The following is a 25,387-nucleotide window of genomic DNA, read 5'->3' as shown; positions in this document are numbered from 1 at the left end:
AAAAAAAAAAACAAAAAAGATTATGAACTAGAATGCAGAGAATGGCAGATGCCGCCAGTACACTCAGCGAGGGAAGGATAAGGGGAGCTTTTCTTTGCAAAACGAGATTTTCATAAGCTGCTTAGAAAGAGTTCATTGGTTCCGGAGGCTCAAAGTCAGAGTTGTCAATTCTTTAGTGGAGACGCTGTTACTGAGCAAGGGTTCTTTCAAGAACATCTTATCTGAATTACTACAGTCCTAATGAATGTCTAGTGATAGACCTTATCAAAATAGGATATGTGTGAAGGATGTTAAAACATTTTTAAAAAGTCCTTGGAAACCATTCTTATCTCAGACATGTTCATGAGCCTCCTCTCTTGCAGTCCTTCCCCTTCTGGATCTATTTTGTCTGGGTGTGACAAAAGTGATTTTATCATGGTATCTGCAACTTTCACATTTCCCCCTTTTGATCAAGATCTTTCTCCAAAAGCATCATTGATCAATTAGCATTAGTTAGGTTTTAAGTGTTCCTCAGTGCTGGGCTGGACTTTTTCAAGTAAGTTGGTCTTGTTCCGCATTGAAGAAAGGTGATTAACAGCTTGAAGTCAGTGTCAAAACTCTTGTAGCTACATTTGAGCAACAAAAAGGCCAGAAAGAGAAGCTTTTAGAATTAGTTTGTCTGAATTTTATATTAAAATTTGATTTTGTCTATTTCATAGACATTGGCTATCATTTCAAGCACTAGGCTAACATTATTTTGTAAGGAGTTTTATTTCTAAAAAGATTTTACAGACAACACGTACAGAGTTTAAAATAAAAATACAAAGCATAAACAACAGCAATATGACAAGTCCAGTTTTCATGATGGTTTTGAGCCATGACCCTTGACTTAAAGGTAACTAACTGAATAGATCAAATGATCATAGGGAACTGAGCGAGACTTGTTGTAGCCAGGTATGCTGTTTTCTTATTTTACATAACTGAGTCTTAACTTCCCCAGAGGAGTTTACTTAGGTAAAGCATGCAGTATTAGCAATGGCACAAACATTACTTTGATTAGCTAATAAATAATCAAGAGCGACTCTGTTATCTAACACTACCCTGTCTAGAAAAGCTAATGAGTGCTGCTGTGCAACAATGGCCTTTGCAGTGGAGTCTGCAATAGGGTAGCAGATACATTTTTTATCATTTCTTCCTTAGCAGAAACATCATACCATGGCACAAAAGATCTGCAAAAGGAAGAAAATCCAGCGTCCTGTAACCCACTTAATGACTCATGGTTAACTCTTTGATGTAGTAAGAGGGTCTAGTCCAATGATTATCCAAATGATAATTTTTAGAACTATTATGTATTGACAAAAGAACAATCAGATATTCCAACCCACATTAACCTTCTGCTATCCAAGTGTCTAAACATCTGGAGCCCCATATTGAGGTATCTCACCCATAAAAGTAAATGTATATGATAGTAGTACAGAAAATTCTTCCATCTATGAATTTTCTATGGATGGTAGAATGAAACCAGGAGTCAGTTACATTACTAAATATTGCTATTAGCCCTTTCTTTTGCAGTTGGTCCATATATATATTTTTTCTTTTTACATATGTTAGGAGGACCCAAGGAGGTTTCCCCCGGGACTACAGACTGAGAAATGCAGATGAGGACATCCTCCTTCTAGGGAGAAAATAAAGTTAAGAATTAGAAGAGAGAAAAGGGCATACAGGCCTGGCCAAGGTATCTTGGGGAAAAAAAAACCATCTACTCAGATGTTGTCTACTTCAAGTCCTAGATATTTTAAGACAATTTCTAGTTTTAATTTGTTGATAAGAGTACAGGCTCACTTAAGAGATAATAGATTTTTAGATGAGGTACATGTATCCAGCAATCAGTTTCTTTAAGCTTGGCAGTGCAGATGTTTTTTTTTTTTAACAAATGTGACATGGGCCTTTCCAGTGAAGTTGGAGGGAGTCTTTTCCAGTAGACAAAATACCATGATTGTAGGTTATAATGTTCTAGTTCTTTGTCCCCTGGGAGCACACTTTGGAAAGATTGTTCTACCAGAGTATAATTTTTATCTGTAGCCTTAATTATAACTTTATAATATTAAAGCATTTCACCTTCTATTAATTTGGGGTCAAAAGAAGTTGGGGCCAAATGCATAGGGAGTGCAGTAATTATCTGAAATAGTGAGAGCTTATGTAATCAAAGGGAGTAGTGTCTAAGTTCAAATTCACTATACATAGGGCTTTTGGCCATGGCACGTGTAACACTCCCAAAAGCTTTTCAAATTGATTCTTAAGAGTGCTATTGTTATGTTCAACTAGTATAGAGAACTGAGGATAATTAACACAATGAAAGTTCTGTAAGATTGGTTAGAAACCACACTCTTGTTTGATAACTTGCCTGGTAAAATTAGTTTCTCAGTGACTGTGGAGCTTAAGGGGTAAAACTCCAGGTAGAATTTTTTTTTTTTTTTTTTTTTAATAATAGGACGTTAGCCATTCCAGAAGTGCTTGCTCATCTTCAGGAAAAGGTTTCAACCCAATAGGAAAACATATAGATTAAAAACTAAAATATAATTGTATTAATGTGAAGGAGATCGGAGATCGATGAATAAAATCCATCTGCTAATTCTCAAATGGCCCATTATGGTGGTTAAAATGGCCTGGGGCTGTACATACTTGCTTTCTACGATGAGGGGGGCAGGATAAATAAACATTTTTCAACTGCGGTGTTGACCTTGCCCTATCAGTATTTTTTCATAAAAGTAATAATCTTTTCTGTAGTCTAATGACTTAATTATGTACAGTATTTAATAACAAAAATTTCATGGGGTCTGGAAGAAAGGTTTTTTGTTGTTTTTGTTTGTTTTGTTTGTTTGTTTTGGCTAAAACCAGAGTTCCTCTTTATCATTAAAGCAGCAGCTGTTATTTTTCCAATTTGGGTTTTTTGTTTTATTTTCTGTTTTTGGCCTCTATTGCCCAATTCTGTGCATCTTTAGTAATTATTTTAAATTCATCTCTTAGGAATCTTTCTAGTTGGGTCATGACAAAGATTTGATCAGAAGGATCTTTAAGGGCACCATTCTTTGTTGTGTTATTAGCCAGGTAATTTCCTCTAGTTCCCATAGCGTCTGGTTTTGAATGGCCTAAAAATTTGATAATGGCTAGAGGGCGGATAGCTGTATTACATCTAATAATTCTGTTATATACAATCCAATTCTTTATTTTGTCTTCACTGGAAGTAAGGAAACCTCTTTGTTTTCATAACATTCCAAAGTCATGAGCAATTCCTAAGGACTACCAACTGTCTGTGTAATCATTAACAGTCTTCCTCAGCAAGGAGACAGGCTTGAGTGGGGCAATTAGCTCTGCTTGCTGGGCTGAAGAGGCTAAAGGCAAAAGAGCTGCTTTCACCACCTCAAAGGCATTAGTGATTATAGCGCCTGCACAATACTTGCCAGAGTCATTTTGTAAATATGAGCCATCCGTAAACCAGGACAACTAAGCATTACCTAGGAGACTCTCTTGGAGATCCTCCCGAGGTCTATCAGAGTTAAGCAGTCATGTGGTGCCTCTCTTGAAGGATATGGCACAAGAGTTACAGAGAGTTAAGGTTATTGCAACATGGGTGATATAAGAAGTAGCAAGTAGGAGAAGTTCATAAGAAGTAAATCAACTAGCAAAGGATGCTATATTAATCTGTTATCACGCTACTAATAAAGACATACCCACAACTGGGTATTTTATAAAGGAAAGAGGTTTAATGGACTCACAGTTTCACATGGCTGTGGAGGCTTCATAATCATGGCGGAAAGCAAAGGAGAAGCAAAGCCATGTCTTACATGGTGGTAGGCAAGAGAGCTTGTGCAGGGGAACTCTCATTTATAAAATCATCAGATCTTGTGAGACTTATTCACTACCACAAGAACAGCAGGAGGGAAATTGCCTCCATGATTCAATTATCTACACCTGGCCCCACCCTTGACTTGTGGGGATTATTACAGTTCAAGGTGAGATTTGGGTGGGGACACAGCCAAAGCATATCAGATACTGAGTGAGATGTGAGTTTAAGATAGCTTACTAGAGAGTGATGTTGGTCCCTATACTTTGGGTTAAGATTCCCAATGTGTTTCCTTTCTTTACATATATAAAGAGGAAAAAAAAGAGATTTTATAATTAAGATGCCCTGGAGCTGAAAAATGTACCAATTTTTCCTTTGGTTTAAAAACTTTTCAGATTTTGCCCCTAAAGAGACAGATTTGATTCAGCAGTGATGGGTGGCATTATTTTTGGTTTTTGAACAGGCAATGACATAACAAAGGAGGAAATTTGGGAAGTCAGAAGACTCCAAGGTTGAGTCAGCACAGTTTGCCTTGTCAAATTCTAAAATTATTTCCCTGTTCTGAGGGAAAAAAAGTTCTAACATAGTATTTTTCTTGAAAATCAAGTCCAAGGAGGAGGTAGATAAGGAAGAATTAACAAGCAAAAAAGGGACAAGTGCCTTGGAGAGGGACAAGTTAGAAAGGGATGGGCTGGGAAACAACAACAGCTAAAAGCTTGTTGGAAACTCCCATATGTATCTTTTTATTAGCCCAAGGCATGGGCTGACTGTGGCTGGTGGGGTTAAAAATTGATACTCTTGCTCCAGTATCTGTAAGCACAACGACCTCATTCCCAACTTGAAGAGTGGTTTCACCTAGATGACTGAGGGAACTGGGAAGAGCCCCTGTAGTCCCTGGTGCCTGAACAGGCAGACTGAAGAGTTGTCTCCAGGTGGGGAAGAAGGGTTGGGTAGCTGGGAAATGTAAACAATACTTTTTGAGGAGTAGTAAATTACTAGGGAGAATAAATGTGAGGTAGGAGACTGGCAGAACTTGTTTCCTGGTCACAATCTTGCTGATCAAAACAGGATCTGTTCCAGACAGGATAAAGAGAAGAAACTGGCAGGAACAAGTGGATGGAGATGAAAGTGATCCTTAGCTGCTCTCATTGCTCATTGACATAAGACACTCCCACCAGCACCATGACAGTCAGGCATTGCCATCCCTCTCTAAGGCAACAACCCAGAAGTTATTGCCCCTTTCTGAGAATGTTCTAAATAGCCAGACCCTCAGTTCGCATTGACATACCCTTAATTTACACGTAATTGAGAGTGTTCTTTCCTGAGTATAAATACAGTTGCCAAGAGCCCACACATTGTTCACTCTGGGCACACGGCCTATGAGGTAACCTTTCTCCACAAGGAGCAGTACCATTTAATAAAAATTGCTATCTAATGTCATCAACTCACTCTTGAATTCTTTCCTGGGCAAAGTGAAGAAACCTCCCAGGCTAAGCCCCAATTTGAGGGCTTGTCTCTCTTCATCAGATGAACCTGGGACATGGGAGGCAGACATTAAGAGAAGGTGAAAGGTGAAGTTGCACAAGAAAAAAAGGCTTTTTTATTATGTAGATAAAGCACCCCAGGTAATCTCTTGGAGCTGCCCTTAGAAAAATAGATTAAAAAGTGTGTTTGGGTGTGGTAATAAATTCCAGTCTTTTCTCTTCTACAGTGGTTGATCTTTCCTTGTTATTTGATGAGATCTCTAGGAAGAGGACTTAAGGCAATTGCATTTCTTTTGGAAAGAGTTTCTTGAACAGAGAAAAAAATTTCAAAGGGAAACTCTTTCTGAGTTTGGTGTGATCCAGGTGAGATTAGAAGGACCTTGGTTCTAAGGCTGCTGCTAAGGCCTTTTAGCATCTTAAAGCACCAGTCTTTAGGGTTATCACTTTGTGAAACCCAACAGAATCATATAGTATGTAATCTTTTGAGACTGGATTTTTTTACACTTAGCATAATTTTCTGGAGATTTATTAAAGTTGATGAGAAAGAGATTTTCTGGCTTTTTTGGCACTCTCTTTTCCAGTGGCCTGGTTTCTTATGGTAGTAGCCTGGCCGAGGATGCTTTTTCCTAGTGTTATGTCTGGGAAGCTCCATCTGCTGTAATAGGAGATTTAAAACTTGAGTGGTTTTCTCTGTATTAGTGTCCTCACAGGTGCCAGCAAGCTGATTTGCCAAATTATCTAGATCAGAAGTAGGTATGGTTTTCCATTCTATCCAGGCTCTTTGGACAAGCTGAGAGAGTACTCCAGAAAGGAGAACTGTAATTCTGCTCACAAACAGAATAAAAGGCTACTTGAATAGATTCAACATCTATAGGTAATTCATAATTTTCTCTAAGTACAACCTGGATTTGATATAATTTTTTTTAAACATGGCCTGGAGTACAACTGTAATGGCTGGAAAGTGGCTCATTAGGTTCTTAAATATGGGAATGGATTTTATTGCAGTCTAAATGTAACGCCTAAGGTTCTTGCCTAGCCACGCCAAAGAATTGGTGTGGCGGTTGACCCCGGCGAGTGATAGAGACACGGACCAAGAGAGAGAAAAAGCTGTAGGCTTTATCGAGCAGAGTGAAAGTACAAAGCTTCCACAGTGTGGAAGGGGTCCCGAATGGGTAGCCAGAGTTAGATTATATGATTGCTTTTTAAACTCCTTAAGGTGGGAAATACCTGAGGCGGGAAGATGTTACTAGAGCAAGAAACAAAGACAGTAAATTATTTTGTGACATGTCTTAGATTTGGACGAAAAATGGAATTGCAACTTAGGTTTCATCTACTTTATGACCTTGCAGAGGCACAGCAAAGGAGACAGGATCTTACAGGACTTTACAAAGTATGTTTACAAGGAATTGGAATTGGAGTATAGATAAGGTCCGCTGGTCACAGAAAAACGGGCAGTTAACATTTCTTTTAGTTTCGGGGGAGGGGGAAGGGAGAGAGGGAGAGAGGACACAGGGAAACTTACAGCAAAATTTTCGCTGTTCACAGCTTTCTTGGGGAAGAAAACACATGCACAAATCCTGGTATTAGGAATATTTTAAGCATATATCTTCACTATTATTCATCCAAGACTGAAGTAAGTCCTGATGCAGGAAATGAGTGACTTTCACAGCTTTCTGATCCAGAACTCGACTCAGTAAGCCCAGCTGGCACCTCCTCTCATAAAGTTTTTTTTTTTTTTTTTTTTTTTTTTTTGAGACAGAATCTCGCTCTGCCACCCAGGCTGAAGTGCAGTGGCACGATCTCATGAAGTTTTAAGAAAAGCCTCAAGAATGGCCTCATGGCCTCATGGAAGTTTTTGCTATGCCTTCAGTTCTGTCACAGTCTTTAGAGGTGTTTTTGTCTAACTCTCCCTCAGGATCACACCAAAAAGCCTTGGTCATTCAGCATGGTGCCTGACCTTCAGCAAATATGTGAGTCAACTGGTATAGATCAGAAAACCGGGGGATGATAGGCCTGACTTACTATCTTGAGTTACTCAGCAAATTGGGGAGGGCCCTCAGTGATCCTTGGAAATTCCCTGGCAATGGCTTGAAGTTAAGCTTGCATAAAAGAAAAATGGGAATTTGAGGTTTAGAAGAATTATCAGTGAGTTTAACTTTAAAATAACAGGTTTTAGCAGACCAAAGAAGGATAGAGAGGAAGAACAGAGGAAAGAGAAGGAGATGTCTCTTCTAGAGAGGACAGAGTCTGGACCTAAGGCCTTCCTTAACTGTTTCTTTGTCTCAGTTAATTTTGAGATAACATATTACTACTCTAATAATTTACACGAGATAACAAAAGCCCAGATTGTTTTTTGTTTTTGTCATTGTTGTTAATTTTTTATTTGACAAATATCCCAGACTAGTTAAATGACAGAAAATAGAACTAGAACTAATGACTTCTTATTTTAAGTTCAAAGTGTGTGTGTGTGTGTGTGTGTGTGTGTGTGTGTTGAATGATACCCTGCTTCCTTATCAAAGGACAGAGACACATTGTCTCTGTCATAATGGTAGAGTAGTCCAATATTCATGACAAACAACCAACAGGAAATAAAGAGGAGCTCAGATTAATTCAGTTTATTTCGGGCCCTTTTTGAATAGTAGAATTCTTTTCAATATTTCTACAGTGCCTCTGTGTGTTTTGTTTTCAATTGTGCTCAAATGGGTCAACCTCTATTTTCATAGTTATTACATTCATACCTCAATCACAGAGATTAAAATAATTAAAAGCACCTATAAAGTCTTAAGTTCATAAATCACTTCTGACACCATAATTATGTACATAAGAGACTACTGCCAAAATTAAATCCCTATGTCTCCATGTTTTTGTCTGAAATTCCTTTGTCTAGTACTAAGGAGTTAAGAAAAACAACAACTTCTACAATACTTCCTACAAAAAACAACCCCACAAAAAACATCTACTTTAAACAGGGTTACTGTGATTAAAGATGCAAATTTTTTTTTTTTAATTTAAAAACTAGGAACTGAGCTACCTATACAGCTTATTTTAATTGAATGTTTATTTCTCTTTCTATTCAGTCTCCTGGTGACCAATTGAATTGTCAGAAGAAGGCATTTTATGTACAAAGTGTTTATCTCAGATAAAAAGGACTATTCAAGCAGACAACAGAAATAAATAATGCCTGATGAATTCTATCTACTGAACTAATTCTCATTTAGTGGTAACTCTACGGTCTACAAAAATGAAAATGATTGTATAAGTTAGTTGATATATTACTGTATTGCTTCTATTCATTGTTTCTGAACTATGGAAAGTACTGAAATGAATGCACATTTGTGGAATACAAAATGCAAATCAACCTAATTTGGAAGTAGGATAAACAAATTAGAGAGAGTTAATTGCTTTTTTTAATGTAGCATGGTTGGTTTAGGACTTCTTACTCAAAGACATACTATAGCCTAGAACTTTTATGTGTTTTTTAAAAATCTATACTCTAGAGTTTTGGCGGAAGAAGTAATTTGGGTGCTAGTATGGGCATTCTATTTTGATGACTAAACTCCCAAAGCTCACAATGTGGGTATCACCACAGTCCATGGTTTGGACTTCAACCTTTTAGGTATCAGGTTGCACCTTTACATTTATTCAGCGTTAATAAGACTTAAGAAATTGAACAAATAATTATCTCTAGAAGAGTTGAAGTTAAAAGAAAAGATTACCTATTTCTATGGGCTGACTTGTGTTCTCCGAAAATTCATATGTTAAAACTCCGATCACCAATACCTCAAAATGTGACAGTATTTGGACACAGGTCTTTAAAGAGGTGATTAATTTAGAATTAGGCCCTTTGGGTGAAGCCCTGATCCAATATATTTGATGCCCTCATAAAAAGATAAGACACTAGTGGCACTGGAGCACAGAGAACTTGTAAGGATACAAAATGAGGTGGTGGACATCTGCAAGCCAAAGAGAGGGGCCCAATAAGAAATCAACACTGTTGACACCTTGATCTTGGGCTTGTCATCTCTGAAACTGTGAACAAATATGCCTCTGAATTTTTTTTTTTTTTTTTTGTAGACATGGAGTCTTGCTTTGTCGCCCGGGCTGGAGTGCAATGGCATGATCTCGGCTCACTACAACCTCCGCCTCCCGGGTTTAAGCAATTATCTAGCCTCAGCCTCTAGAGTAGCTGAGGTTACAGGCATGTGCCACCACGCCTGGCTAATTTCTTTTGTATTTTAGTAGAGATGGGGTTTCACCATGTTGCCCAGGTTCGAACTCCTGAGCTCAGGCAATCCGCCCACCTCGGCTTCCTAAAGTGCACGTTTCTGTTTTTTAAGCCACCCAGCCTGTGGCATTTTATTATGGCAGCCCTAGAAAACTAATACGTGCATTAATTGTTATAAAATGAGATTATAAATATAAAATGGAACAGATCATATATCTTCTGACCAGCACATTTTTCTGTAAAAGAAATTTACACAGGCACCAAGGAAGTAATCAGACAATAGATTCTTAGTTACATAAATAATTAAGGTTTTTTAAATTTTTAATTATTTGAACCAGGAGAGCCCAGTTTGAGGCTCACAAATTGAAGTCCAATAGCAGATGCAAGTCAGTGATGATCTTTGGAGAAAAGACAACATTAAAAATCTAAAAACACATTGTCTTGCTAAATGTCCTCAAGGAACTGTACTATCATCTCAATGTTATCATCTGTCTTTCACTTAGTGTATATGATTTTGTGGGCATGAGTTTGGATGTGGGTGAGAATGGGCTGTAGTAAATTTCCAAATACTTTTTTAACAGGGAAAATAGAAGAATCCTCTGCTGGCCTCTCCCTTGTCTAGTTTATTTGTTCTTGTGTATCAAGAGTTCCTTTGGATCCAAGCAAAAAATTTCCAATTAACAGTAATTAAACTTATAGTAGTTTAGTTTTCTCATGTAACAGATGCACATCCTAAACTTAGGATGCTTTTTTATCCTAAACTGATAAGTTTGCCTTCAAATGATTCTAATATGATTCATTTTCTTTTTCTAGGCACAAAAATCAGGGAAAGACTAACAATAAAAGGCTTTTTAATAACATATCTTATAAGGCACTCTCTTACTAAGCAATTCCACATATATCCCATTGTTCTTAATTGTGTCACATGGTGACCCTCGTTTGAAAGATTTTCAGCCTCAGTAAAAGAAGATAAGAGAAAAATGGTTGTTGAGGACTTAAAATAGCCAATGGACAGACTGTGTCAGCCAACCCATGGAAGGAAATAGCCTGTAAAACTCTATCCAACACATTTAATCTTCCCAGGGAGACATTTTTGCTAATGGGACCAGTTGAGTTCTATGCTTAAACTCTTATTGAAATTATCTCTGTGGTTGCAGTTTGCTTTACATCTAAAAAGTAGCTTTCTTCGATTTTTTTGATAAGCTCTTTCTTGCATCTCTTCAGATCCATGTTTTCTCTCTTTAAATATATAAATGTATTTAATTAGGTTGAAGTAAAATATTACTAGGGTGAGAAGTCATTCTGCTTTGTTAAATTTGAGTTCCATTATTGCTACTGAGACTCATTCTGTGTTGACTTAGGGTAACTGTCATAAGCCTCTCTAAGTGAGAAGATCACTTATACACTGTGAAGTGGGTAAGACTTCACCCACTCGCAATCTAACAAGTCAGCCTGGCACAGTTTTAAGGATGCTGCAGAATAAACGAAACCACTGGGTTAGAGACTTTTGACAGTCTATTTCTGACAACAAAAGCAGCAGCCAGAGTACCAGCACTTTTTTACACTGAATTCTGAAGTACCAATTTCCATGGAGTGACACAAAGAGGGACAGGGGATACTTAGGCAGGAGGTGGGTTTGTTATAGGTAAGAAACTCTGAGCTTTGGAAACTGGACTCTCTCATAATAGTCAGGAAGCATGCCTGTGCTTTGCTCTGGATGGAGTCACTATATCTTTCAAGGTGATTTGCAACATAAACATCTGTGAAAAGATAATCCAACACAAAGGGTACTTAGAACCATACTCCCAAGACTTGCAGATATGTGGATAAATGTAGCTTAATATAAGAGACCATCTTCTCTGAACTAAGCTTCTTAAAGGTAATGTGAGAAAGAGAGAATAAATGTAGAGAAGAAACTCCTAAATACCAGAAGACCAATAAAATTAATTACATATTTCTTAATGTTCATGAACATATTTTTAATTGCTTAAGAACAGAACAAAAATATCTCTTCAGAAAAATGGAGCTGGGCGCGGTGGCTCATGCCTGTAATCCCAGCACTTTGGGAGGCCGAGGTGGGCAGATCACAAGGTCAGGAGTTCCAGACCAGCCTGGCCAATATGGTGAAACCCTGTCTCTATTAAAAGTACAAAAATTAGCCAGGTGTGGTGGTGGACACCTGTAGTCCCAGCTACTCAGAAAAATGGAAACTAATGCCAATTTACAAAATGTCTGAAGATATTTTTTCCCCTAACTCGTATCCTTGAGTTAATGTACAAATACCAAATTTTGTAATAGAATAATTATATTTGTTGCTTTACAGTTCAATGAGAGGATAAGCTAAATAGAACTCTACAAATAGCTGGATGTAATAAACACTATATAACAGAATCTAACATGTAATTACTATATACCTGAAAATAAAAATATTTAAATACAAGAATGTACCCTTACTAGAATAATAAAGGCAAAATATCATGCTATTTTTATAGATATATTTAAATTAAATTCCTTCTTTGAACAATTTTTTTTTAATTTACTTAAATTTTGGAATACTAGTTTAGTCTATGAAGTAAAACTACTTAGGTAGAAAAGACAACTCTCTTTGATTTGGTTGCAGTATACACAATAGGCATATGCTGTATTCCATGTTATCCATTATATGTTATATGCTATATGATACATAATGTATTATGTATATTACTCCATATTTACAGCAGGCACCAGTCTTTCTTACTGGTCCTGAAGCAAATTGCTATGACTGTCTATGGAGAAGGCCATGTGGCAAGTAACTACTGATGTCCTCTATGTTATAAGACAAATTTCCAACCTACAGCCAGTAAGAAGCTGGAGCTTTCATTTATACAGCTACACGAAACCAAAGCAGATCCTCCCTACATGAAACTCCAGCAGAGAGGCCAACACCTTACTTGGAGCCTTGAGGAACCCTCAGCAGAAGACAGCATAGCAAGAGATAACTAACATAATCTCTATGCTCAGAAAAGATGCAAAACCCACAGAGGCCCATAGAGAATCTTCTCCCAACATTGCACTGAGGAGCTCTCAACTACACATATTATAAAAGTTAGTAACTTTCCCAGTTAAATAACAAGCTGTCAAATTCAATAAGACAACTGAAAAGAGGGCTCACAGAGTATAATTAGCTGTATTTTTCCTTTTTCCACACAAATGTTGTAACACTTCTCATTTGTAAGGTGTTATCATAGTATGTAACAGAAAAATAAGTGAGACATGGATAATGTATTAAAGAATTTTCCATCTAGTAACAGATATGAAATACTGTGCTACTCAATTGTTACATCCTTTGCTCAGACACAATCTTAGCCTCATATGTAGCTAAATGTGCCCATCTGTACACAATTGTCTAATGTTTCCAGTTCATACTTTTTTTTTTTTTACAGAAAATGTACTGTATTGAGTTCACATAAGGAAAAAAATCTTGTTTTTCTTAGCATCAAAATTTCCAATTACTCTTCCACTCTATTAGCTCAGTAAAAAGATGTGTTGGAGATGATCCTATCCTTGAAACACTTGGAATACAAGGGATAATCAATTGATTGGTGTGAGCTTTCCGAGAATCCTAGGTTATGCCAGTACCTATGCAGCTTTTGTTTTGCTCTGTGGCATATGCAAGCTGAAAGATAGCATTGAATTATTTAGTTATGAAGAACAACTCTAGATGCTATTTGTGGACAGGGAAAGGAAAATGTAAAAGGTGATGTAGTGATAGAGCTGGTGACCAGAGAATATCTCTTGAGAAGAGAAAACAGATTATTTATCCATCTGTCCATATATCTATCTAAACAACTATCGTCTATAATGTGTTGTCATATAGTGTACAAGGGAAATAAATTTTCCGTGTATTCCTTGACATTTCAATAAAATCTATGACTCTGGGAGTGATATTTTTAGGGAATAGACTACTTGTTAAGGTGTTACATTCTCCAGGTCAGTGCAGAGTGGAAAAAAAAAAAAAAAAAAAAAACACCATTGGGATCCCAGCTACATTTGAACTAAAATTTTAATGCACATTAAAATTTATGTGCCTGTCTCTAATCAGATAAATCAGAAATTCTTTGGAATTCTTTAGTATAATGTGTGTATTATTCATGTTTGTATGTGCTGCACCTGACACAGCACACTGCATGGTAACATGCATGTAACGTAATGAGCAATCTGTCGGGTTTTTTTAAATTTTAAATAAATAGGTAGATGAAGACTTTATAGCCAACTTCCAACAGAAGTATGGTATTGTGGCCATAGGTTAAATCAGAGACAAGCCTAGTTGTTGTCTTTTACATACATTGACTTCTACAGGTTTTCTTTTGTTTTCGTAAATCTTGATTATAAATATTTAACACATTGAATGTTTTAGCTATCATATTTTCTTAAGAATAACTAATATGGCTGGGCCCGGTGGCTCACGCCTGTAATCCCAGCACTTTGGGAGGCTGAGACAGGTGGATCATGAGGTCAGGAGTTCAAGACCAGCCTGGCCAACATAGTGAAACCCCATCTCGACTAAAAATACAAAAAATTAGCTGGGTGTGGTGATGGGCCCCTGTAATCCCAGCTACTCAGGAGGCTGAGGCAGGAGAATCGCTTGAACCCGGGAGGTGGAGGTTGCAGTGAGCCGAGATCATGCCATTGCACTTCAGCCCAGGCGACAGTGAGAGACTCTGTCTAAAAAATAAAAGAATAATTTCTCAGAGAACAAGTACAAATCAAATACCTGATATCTTGTTATATGATGTAATATTGTTTTAATTCATACAAAACAAGTATATTCTAATGTTGCAGAAAGTAAACTAAGTTAATACTGCAATCTGATTGGTATCAGTACTAAAGTATGTGACAGAACATAAAAATGTATTTGAGAAATCAAATCACCTGTCAGTGATTTTATTGAATTAATTTTTAAATTTTGCCAATTATATATTCATGTTCTGAAATACAATTTTCAGAACATGATCAAAACTTTAATATTTTACATGGCTTCTATTTGCAACCAAAACAGAACTGCTCTTAACTACTTAGTCAAGAGCAGTGTTTGTCTGCAAAGAAATTCCACTGTGCTGTGTTCACTCACAGGGATACAAAATCTAGATTATTCGCTATGGTCATGCTACAAAACAACAAAATATTTATTTTAATTGAAAAAATCTTTTTAAAAATTTGTTTCTTCTAAAAAGAAAACAACAGGATACATGTGCAGAACGTGCAGGTTTGTTACATAGGTATACGTGTGCCATGGTGGTTTGCTACACCTACTGACCAGTCCTCTAAGTTCCCTCTTCGTAGCCCCCACACCCCAACAGACCCTGGTATGTATTGTTCCCCTCTCTGTGTTCATGTGTTCTTAATGTTCAACTCCCACTTATGAATGAGAACATGTGGTGTTTGGTTTTCTGTTCCTGTGTTAGTCTGCTGAGAATGATGGCTTCCAACTTCATGTATGTCCCTGCAAAGGACATGATCTCATTTGTTTTTATGGCTGCATTACATTTTCTTTATCCAGTCTATCATTAATGGGCATTTGGGTTGGTTCCATGTCTTTGCTATTATAAATAGTGCTGCAATAAACATACCTGTGCATGTGTCTTTATAGTAGAATGATTTATAATCCTTTGGGTATATACTCAGTAATGGGATTGCTGGGTCAAGTGGTATTTCTGGTTCTAGATCCTTGAGGAATCACCGTACTGTCTTCCACAATGGCAGAACTAATTTACATTCCCACCAACAGTGTAAAAGCATTCCTATTTCTCCATAGCCTTGCCAACATCTATTGTTTCCTGACTTTTTAATAGTCGCCATACTGACTGGTGTAAGATGGTATCTCATTGTGGTTTTAATTTGCATTTCTCTGATAATCAGTGATGTTGAGCTTTTTTTCATGTTTATTGGCCACATAGATGTCTTCTTTTGACAAATGTCTGTTCATATCCTTTGCTTACTTTTTGATAGAGTTTTTTTTTTCTTGTAAATTTGTTTAAGTTCCTTGTAAATTCTGGATATTAGACCTTTGTCAGATGGATAAATTGCAAAAATTTTCTCCCATTCTGTAGGCTTCCTGTTCACTCTGATGATAGTTTCTTTTGCTGTGCAGAAGCTCTTTAGTTTAATTATATTCCATTTGTCAATTTTGGCGTTTGTTTCAATTGCTTTTGGAGCTTTCGTCATGCAGTCTTTCCCTTGCCAGTGTCCTGAATGGCACTGCCTAGGTTTTCTTCTAGTGTTTTTATGGTTTTCAGTTTTACATTTAAGTCTTTAATCCATCTTGAGTTAATTTTTGTATAAGGTGTAAGAAAGGGGTCCAGTTTCAGTTGCTGCTTATGGCTAGCCAGTTTTCCCAGCACCATTTACTGAATCCTTTCCCCATTGCTTGTTTTTGTCAGGTTTATCGAAGATCAGATGGTTGTAGATGTGTGGTGTTATTTCTGTAGTCTCTGTTCTGCTCCATTGGTTTATATATGTCTGTTTTGGTACCAGTACCATGCTGTTTTGGTTACTGTGGACTTGTAGTACAGTTTGAAGTCAAGTAGCATGATACATCCAGCTTTGTTGTTTTGGCTTAGGATTGTCTTGGCCTCTTGGGGTCTTCTTTGATTCCATATGAAATTTAAAATGTGTTTTTTTTCTAATTCTGTGAAGAATGTTAATGGTAGTTTGATGGGAATAGCATTGAATTTTTAAATTACTTTGGGCTGTATGGCCATTTTCATGATATTGATTCTTCCAATTCATGAAGATGGAATGTTCTTCCATTTGTCTGTGTCCTCTCTTCTTTCCTTGAGCAGTGAGTGGTTTGTAGTTTTCCTTGAAGAGGTCCTTCACATCTCATGTTAGCTGTATTCCTAGGCATTTTATTCTGTTTGTAGTAAGTGTGAGTGGGAGTTCATTCATGATTTGGCTCTCTGCTTTCCTATTGTTGGTGTAAAGGAATGTTTGTTATTTTTGCACATTGATTTTGTATCCTGAGACTGATGAAATTGCTTATCAGTTCAAGAAATTTTGGGGCTGAGATATTGGGGTTTTCTAAATATCAAATCATGTTGTCTGCAAACAAAGACAACTTGACTTCCTCTCTTCCTATTTGAATAACTGCATTTATTTATTGTTTTATTTTGCCTGATTGCCCTGGACAGAACTTCCAATACTATGTTGAATAGGAGTGGTGAGAGAGGGCACACTTGTCTTGTTCCGGTTTTCAAAGGCAATGCTTCCAGCTTTTGACCATTCAATACGATATTGTCTGTGGGCTTGTCATAAATAGCTCTTATTATTTTAATATGTGTCCCATCAATACCTAGTTTATTGAGAGTTTTTAACATGAAAGGATGTTAACTTTTATCTAAGGCCTTTTTTGCATCTATTGAGATAATCACGTGGTTTTCGTCTTTGGTTCTGTTTATGTGATGGACTAACTTGATTGATTTGTGTATGTTGAATGAGCCTTGCATCCTAGGGATGAAGCCAACTTGACGAAGCCAGCTTGACCATGGTGGCTAAGTTTGTTTACGTGCTGCTAGATTTGGTTTGCCAGTATTTTATTGAGGATTTTTGCATTGATGTTCATCAGGGATATTGGCCTGAATTTTTCTTTTTTTGTTGTGTCTCTTCCATGTTTTGGTATCAACATGATGCTGGCTTCATAAAATGAGATAGGGAGGATTCCCTCATTTTCAATTGTTTGGAATAATTTCGGAAGGAATGGTACCAGCTCCTCTTTGTATTTCTGGTAGAATTCAGCTGTAAAGCTGTCTGCTCCTGGGCTTTTTTTGTTTGGTAGGCTATTAATTACTGCCTCAATTTCAGAGCTTGTTATTGGTCTATTCAGGGACCCAAATTATTCCTTGTTTAGTCTTGGTAGGGTTTATGTGTCCAGAAATTTATCCATTTCTTCTAGATTTTCTAGTTTATTTGCATAGAAGTGTTTATAGTATTCTCTGTTGGTAGTTTGTATTTCTGTAGGGTCAGAAATCCCCTTTATCATTATTTATTGTGTCTATTTGATTCTTCTCCCTCTTCTTTATTAGTCTAGCTAGAAGTGTATCTACTTTGTTAACTATTATTATTATTTTTTTAAACAGCTCCTGGTTTCCTTGATTTTTTGGAGGGCTTTTCGTGTCTCTATCTCCTTCAATTCTGCTCTGATCTTAGTTATTTCTTGTCTCCTGCTGGCTCTTGGATTAGTTTACTGTTGCCTCCCTAGATCTTTTAATTGTGATGTTAGGGTGCCAATTTGAGTTCTTTCTAGCTTTCTGATGTGAGCATTTAGTGCTATAAATTTCTCTCTTAATGCTGCTTTAGCTGTGTCCCAGAGATTCTGGTACATTGTCTCTTTGTTATTATTGGTTTCAAAGAACTTCTTGATTTCTGCCTTAATTTTATTATTTCCCCTCCTAAGGAGTCACTCAGGAGCAGATTTTTCAATTTCCATGTAATTGGGTGGTTTTGAGTGAGTTTATTAATCTTGAGCTCTAATTTGATTGCACTGTGGTTGAGAGACTGTTATAATTTCCATTATTTTGCATTTACTGAGGAATGTTTTACTTCCAATTATGTGGTCGATTTTAGAATCAGTGCCATGTGGAACTGGGAAGAATGTATATTCTGTTGATTTGGGGTAGAGAGTTCTGTAGACATCTACTAGGTCCACTTGATCCAGAGCTGAGTTCAAGTCCTGAATATCCTTGTTAATTTTCTGTCTCATTGATCTGTCTAATATTGACAGTGGGGTGTTAAATTCTCCCACTATTATTGTGTGGGAGTCTAAGTCTCTTTGTAGGTCTCTAAGAACTAGTTTTATGAATCTGGGTGCTCCCATATTGAGTGCATATATATTTAGAATAGTTAGCTCTTCTTGTTGAATTGTTCCCTTTACCATTATGTAACGCCCTTCTTTGTTTTTTTTTTTTTTGATTTTTGTTGGTTAAAAGTCTGTTTTCTCAGAGACTATGATTGCAATCCCTACGTTTTTGTTTTGTTTTTTTGTTTTTTATTTTTTTGTTAGCTTTCCATTTCCTTGTTAAATTGTCCTCCATCCCTGTATTTTGAGCCTGTGTGTGTTTTTACATGTAGGAGGGGTCTCCTGAATACAGCACACGAATAGGTTCACTTCAGGCCTTATTCATCCAATTCACTCCTGTGCCTGTAGATACCATTCAAGGAGGCTGGAGAGCAGCAAAGACGAGTGCCTGCTCCTTCTTCTGGGACCTCTGACCTCGAGAGGGCACCAACCTGATGCCAATAGGATCGCTCTTGTATAGGGTGTCTAACAATCCCTGTTGGAGGGTCTCACGCAGTTGGGTGGCATGGGGATCAGGACTTGTTTAAAGAAGCACTTTGTCCCTTGGTGGAGAGGGTGTGTTTTACTAGGGGAAAATCCACTTGTCTGGGCTGCCTGGATTCAAGGAGGAGAGTCTAAGTCTGCTGGTCCACAGACTGTGGCCACCCCTCCCACTAGGGGCTCAGGCCCAGGGAGATCTGAATTCTATCCCTGAGCCTCTGGCTGGAGTTACTGGAGATCCTGCAGGGAAGCCCCGCCCACTGAGGAAGGATGAGTCAGGGTTAGGCCTGAAGAGGCCCTCTGTCCACAGACTGCCATAGCTGGTGTGTTGGGCTGTGGGGACAAGTCACGGGACCAAGCTATCCAGCCTCCCTGGCTCCAGCAGGGGAAAAGAGCAGCCTGGAGCTATAGAGATGGGTGCTTCTCCTTTCACAGAAGGAGCTTAGCGTGTTAGGCAGTTACAGGTCCCATTGCTGGTTACTGCCCCTCCCACAAGGAGCTTGAAAGGCTTAGACAGGGGGCAGCCGCAGCCAGTGCTGGTCGCCCTGCCGCCCGGGAGTTTGGTATTCTTCAGCAGAATCTAACTGAGATGCTCTAAGAATCTACACCTTCCAGGTTTGGGACGCTAGGCTCCGGTGGCATGGGTTCGCAAGTGGGATCTTCCGATCTTTGGGTTGCATAGTTCCGTGGAAAAAGAGCAGTTTCCCCAGCTGGGTAGCGCACTGCCTCACTGCCTCCCTGGGGAGGGTTAAGAGGGTTCCCCTTCCCCATGTGGCTCTCAGGTGGGCTGCTGCACCACACTGCTCTGCCTTCTTTCTGCGCCTTCTAGTCAATTTTGATGAGAGAACCTGGATACTTTGGTTGCTGGTGAAGGATTCACACGCTTATTATGTTTTTTTTTTTTTTTTTTTTTACAGTGGGAGCCTCCGATTCCTGCTGCTTCTAGTCTGCCATCTTTGCCACACCCCCAGAAAATTCTGAGTAATGTCTTTTTAAAATATAAGTGTAGTAGCATTATGATTTTATCGCAGTTTACACAAAATGACAAATATGTAACCATTGTTTGTATGAATTATATGCTATACAATAAATTATGGAAAAATATATGTTATATAATAAATGTTACATTAGATTTTACACTGTATTATAAATTATACATAATTTTATAGCAATTTGAATTACACAAGTATTTCTGTTTGCTGGTACTGAATACTGATCACAGAAGAATATAACTTCTGTTCTACATAAATCCATATAATATATCTACAACAAGATTTCAAGGAAAAAGACATTAATTTTTTTTTAGAAATTAAAGATTTTAACCCAAAGAGTTTATATTATGTAAACAACTTACAATAGAAGAGCTACAGACTCTAGAAAGATAGAATTTGTAAAAGAAAAGTACAGGATGTTTGTTAATCTTTGTGTTAGTTGTAATACTTTAGTGCAAGTCACCAAAATCCACTAAAACCATCTTGAGTACAAATGAGCTTTCATGAAAATAAAAAGGGATTTAAGTCTAATGAAAGCATCAGAACAGCTTCAGGAACCTTGGAAAAAAATGTTTGGACTGGAAAGTCCACAAAAGAAGTTATAGCACCAGGTTACTGTTGCTATGCCTCAACTTTAGCTCTTTCAAGAATTTCAAGTCTCGTTAAGTAAAAAAATCCTGAATAATAATAATAAAAAAAGCTGCAGCAATGGGTATGGTTATTTAGTAAAACAGCCACTGGAATTTTGTTCCACTATGTGTATCAAAGTTTTGTTTGTGTTTTTGTTTGTTGTGTCTATTAAATGTTTTGGCATATAGACAATGAAAACAATCCAGAGTTTACCTTTTCCGACATGGATATACGAACAAATAATTTCTCTTTTGAAGAAAAGGAAAATGAAAGTGAAGAGTGTTCACAGACAGCTTAGCTAAGATGCTTTGTTAAATGCAAACAAGAACTAAAATTTATTAGTGAGGATATTTGATTACAACGATGATTAAAATCTCTTTAGGTTTAGCTAATTATCTTTTAAATGGTATCCTATACAAAAGTTATGATTTCAAGCTCATGAAAAAGTTTACTAGGTAAATTCCCTAACTATATAGTTAAATAAGCTGAACATAATGGAATTAAATGATATGACTATGGTCATCCAGCTACTTAATAAAAGAGACATTAACATGAGATGTATCAGTTTGCCTTGAAATATGTAATGTATGTGCATATGCACACGTATCTTTAGTGGTTTTATTTCAGCATTTATACATATAAGCATCTACACAGGATAATATTTTGTCTAGAATGTTCAATTTGACATGTACTTCTGTATGAGTTCATTCTCATGCTGCTGTAAAGAACTGCCCAAGACTGGGTAATTTATAAAGGAAAGAGGTTTACTTGACTCACAGTTACACATGGCTGAGAAGGCCTTAATAAACTTACAATAATGACAGAAGGTGAAGGGGACAAAAGGCACCTACTTCACTGGGCAGCAGGAAGGAGAAGTGTCAAGCAAAGGGGGGAAAAGCCCCTTATAAAACAATCAGATCTCATGAGAACTCACCCACTATCATGAGAACAGCATGGGGGTAATTGCCCCCATGATTCAATTACCTCCCACCTTGTCCCTTTCTCAATATGTGGTATTATGGGAACTACAATTCAAGATGAGATTTGGGTGGGGATACAGCCAAACCATATCAACTTCTATGTTTATCAATTTCTATCATTTCCTAGTTTATTGTTATTATTGTCTATCAGTCTGCATCTATCTATTTATTATCTATCTTTCAACTTAATGTATTCTTCCATCTTATTAGACAAAATGTAAGACATGGAATGCAATAATATAGATGGTCAAATAGAAAATATATAAATATTATTATTTAGGAGAATATGGGAATTGAGATAGCTGTTTATTTTACTTTTGAAAAATCTTAAAATTGAGTTTAATTTTTTGTATGTATTCATATTGACATATGAATGTCATGCATGACTTTAAAAATATCTTTTTTTTCTTTTCTCAGCTATTCAATTTCTACTATACCAAAATTAGACTCCTCCTCCCGCTAAGGTAACCTATTTTAACAATATAGCATGTATCCTAATAACCAACTTTGTATTCTACATTTTTCAGTGCTCAAATTACCCTATGCAAATAAGAATGCGTGGTATGCATATACACATATATATTTATCTATAAACATGTGTATATATGTATACATAGATGTGTATATATATATATGTGTACACACACACCCACCCAGACACATATACAATAGATTCTTGTTATATGTGATAGTCATATTTTTATAAAGACACCACAAACACTGAAATCGTGAATACTAAACCATTGCTTTTAGCTGAAATACAGGGTTAGGTTCCTGCAAGCATCTGTTAACAACATTTTTATCAACCACTCAATACATAACCTTGTTTTATGTGTTTGTTTAAAGAAATCTTATTTAACCTATATTATTGCTTCATTAACATTGAACTCATAGCCAATAGCACTATACCTCATGCCCAAGAAAATCTTATCTAACACACTCCATAAGGCACATCACAACCATCTCACATTTTGGCACTCTTGGAAGGACTTTAGCCGTACATTTGGGTGCCATTTTAAACGGTGAAATCACCAAAAAAGCACACGTGGCACTAAATAAACCATGATAAGGATACTTGTTTACATTATGAGAGCTAAAACAAGAAAGCAGATTATTGTTTAGTTCAACTTCAAGTGTATCAGACAAGTCAAAAATTCCACCACTCTGTTCATGTCTGTGAAGAATTGTGAAAGTGACCTGAGTATCAATTTTGGGGTTAAAAATAAATTTTATGGACATGTATCTGCAGATACAGACTCTTCAAAAAATGAAGATTAAGTGTATTTGAACTACATATGTACACGTTTTCTGTTGCATAGACTTTTATGTGTAACTCTGTACAGAGTTTATTGTCTTTTTATTCTATAAAAATGGATGTCACTAGCTACATTAATTAGGAAGATTGCTCGTTGAACATATATACATATATATAACTTTAATAGATTTTATATTTCTTGTAAGCAATAAATGATATAGCTTTTAAAAATTTAAGATTTGCTATTCAAACAATATATTAAACTTAATTTTTAATTTTATAACAAAATTTGAGAATTTTTTCATATATTATTTGACTTTTGAATTTGATATTTTCTATGTATTTATTCATGTTCTTAGAGCATATTTTTCAACTTGACCATTTATTTTTTTCTGACAATTTGTAAGTAGTCTCATATGACACTGACAGTATTCCTTTGTCTATAATTTGTGTGACCAATTTTTTTGATATATGTTATGTTTATTGATTTTGGTTTTGATATATTGCCCAATGCAACTTCTATATTTTCTCCATTTATCAGTACCAATGGGTTAAGAGAAAAAAAATCTGCACTCTTTAATCAAAAGATAGGAAAGGGGATGACAGAAAGTCAGAAAATATTTATAAAATAATTCTGGTACAATTAAACTGCCCAGGAAACTATCTGGCTCCACCCATACCTACAATACCAAAGAGGAAGCAGAGAGCCTAGATTTCCACCCTTAGCAGACTATAATGAAGCACTCTCAACCTTCAACTGGCGTGGTGTGAGAAAAAGCTAAATAGAGAGCCAAGACTTTTATTCCTGCCAGACTATAACTTCTCTTCTCTCCCAAATTGCTTCCTCTGCTAGGAAAAGTGGTGACAACATGGGCATATGGACATTCATTCCCACCTTCAGCAGAGGGAGGATATGTGTTTTGAGAAATGGTACTAGAGCAATTCAACATAGAAGAAAAGAAGAGAAGATGAAGGAGAAGAGGAGGAAGAGGAAGAGGAAGAAGGAGGAGGAGGAGGAAGAAGAAAAAGAAGAAGGAAGAAGAGGAAGAAGAAGAGGAAGAAGAGGAAGAAGGAGAAGAAGGAGAAGGAGAAGAAGCAGCAGCCAAGTGCAGTGACCCAGCCTGTAGTCCCAGCGCTTTGGGAGGTCAAGGCGGGCATAGCAGGAGGTCAGGAGTTCGAGACCAGCCTGGCCAACATGGTGAAACCCCATCTCTACTAAAACTACAAAAATAAGCTGGGTGTGGTGGTGTGCACCTGTAATCTCAGCTTCTTGGGAGGCTAAGCAGGATAATCGTTTGAGTCCTGGAGACAGAGGTTGCAGTGAGCCGAGATCATGCCACTGCACTCCAACCTGGGTGGCAAAGCAAGACTCTGTCTCAAAAAATAAATAAATAAATAAATAAGAAGGAAGAGGAGGAGGAGGAAAGAATAATAATAATAATAATAATAATAATAAGGGGAGCACCTTGACCTAAGTCTCACTTTCGCACCTACAAAATTTAACTCAAAATGAATCACAGACTTAAATACCATAGAAAAAAAAAACAGGGCACCTGTGTGTTCTAGCACCAGTTAGAGAGTTCTTTGACCGGATTCTGAAAGCACTATCCATAAAAAGAAATTTTGGTAAATTGAAGTTCATTAAAATTGGAAACTTTTGTTCTGTGAAAGACCCTGCCAAAAAGATGAGAAAATAAGCTACATGCTGAGAGAAAATATTTGCAAAGCACCTATTTGACACAGGGTTAGTATCTAGAGTATATAACAAACTCAAAAAGCTCAAAAATAAAGGAAAAAAAATCCATTAGAAAGTAAGCAAAAGACAGAGAGAGGCAATTCACTGAAGGGAGTATAGAAATGCAAATTAACATCATAATAAGATATCACTACACATTTATCAGAATGACTAAAATAAAAAGAAAAATAGTGACAACATTAAACGCCAGAAAGAGTGAGAAGAAACTGGAACACAGACTTTGCTGCTAGAATGTTAAATGGTAAAAATATTTTCAAAAATTGCTGAGCAGTTTTGTTGTTGTTGTTGTTGCTGCTTAAATAACAACAATACACAAAAACATGTAACTACAATACAATCCAGAAATTTCACTCTTAACCCTGTAACACAGATAAGTGAAAACCTATGCTCATGTAAAACTCTGTACATGAAAGTTCATAGTAGCTTTATTTGTGATAGGCTCAAATTGGAAACAACTTAGTTGTCATTCAAAGGGTGAGTGTTTAAGCAAATTGTGGTACATCCATACCATGGAATAGTACAGAGTAATAAAAAGAAATAGACAACTGATACCTACAAGAAACTGAAGGGATCTCCAAAAAATTATGCTAAATGAAGAAAGCCAAATGATTGTAATTATATAACTCTTGAAATGACCAAATTGTACAAATAGAGAACAGATCAGTGGCTTCCAGACATTAAGGAGATCTTTATTCATTTGCATTTTTTAAAAGAGAGATGAAGCAAAATATCCCTCCTGATATCTAATCCCCAGTGTTATGTTTATGTGAGTCTCTCCTCTCAAGTTGGAGTGAGATCTGTAGCTTGTTTGTAACTAATGCAATATTCTGTAAATGATAGAATGCTATTCTCTTAATAATGTCCTATTATATAGCAAAGGTGAAAAAAACTTTCTATCTGCAATTAAGACCCTAACCAGTTGAATTTAA

At 36.8% G+C, this 25,387-nt stretch overlaps 2 long non-coding RNA genes across 2 annotated transcripts in view; one reads left to right on the top strand and one right to left on the bottom strand.

Moving 5' to 3' along the window:
• Positions 1-25,387, bottom strand: part of LINC02506 (long intergenic non-protein coding RNA 2506) — a 158,028-nt gene that overhangs the window by 125,829 nt on the left and 6,812 nt on the right. The window lies entirely within an intron of this gene.
• LOC105377651 (uncharacterized) lies at positions 7,156-23,725 on the top strand. The gene is made up of 4 exons (NR_134682.1): positions 7,156-7,277; positions 19,763-19,826; positions 21,865-21,911; positions 23,556-23,725. It is a non-coding gene; the product is annotated as an uncharacterized LOC105377651 (long non-coding RNA).

Source organism: Homo sapiens, chromosome 4 (assembly GCF_000001405.40).
Source record: "Homo sapiens chromosome 4, GRCh38.p14 Primary Assembly".
Classification (NCBI taxonomy): Eukaryota; Metazoa; Chordata; class Mammalia; order Primates; family Hominidae; genus Homo; species Homo sapiens.
The sequence above is the reverse complement of the archived record's forward strand: the minus strand, read 5'-3'. Positions and strand labels throughout refer to the sequence as shown.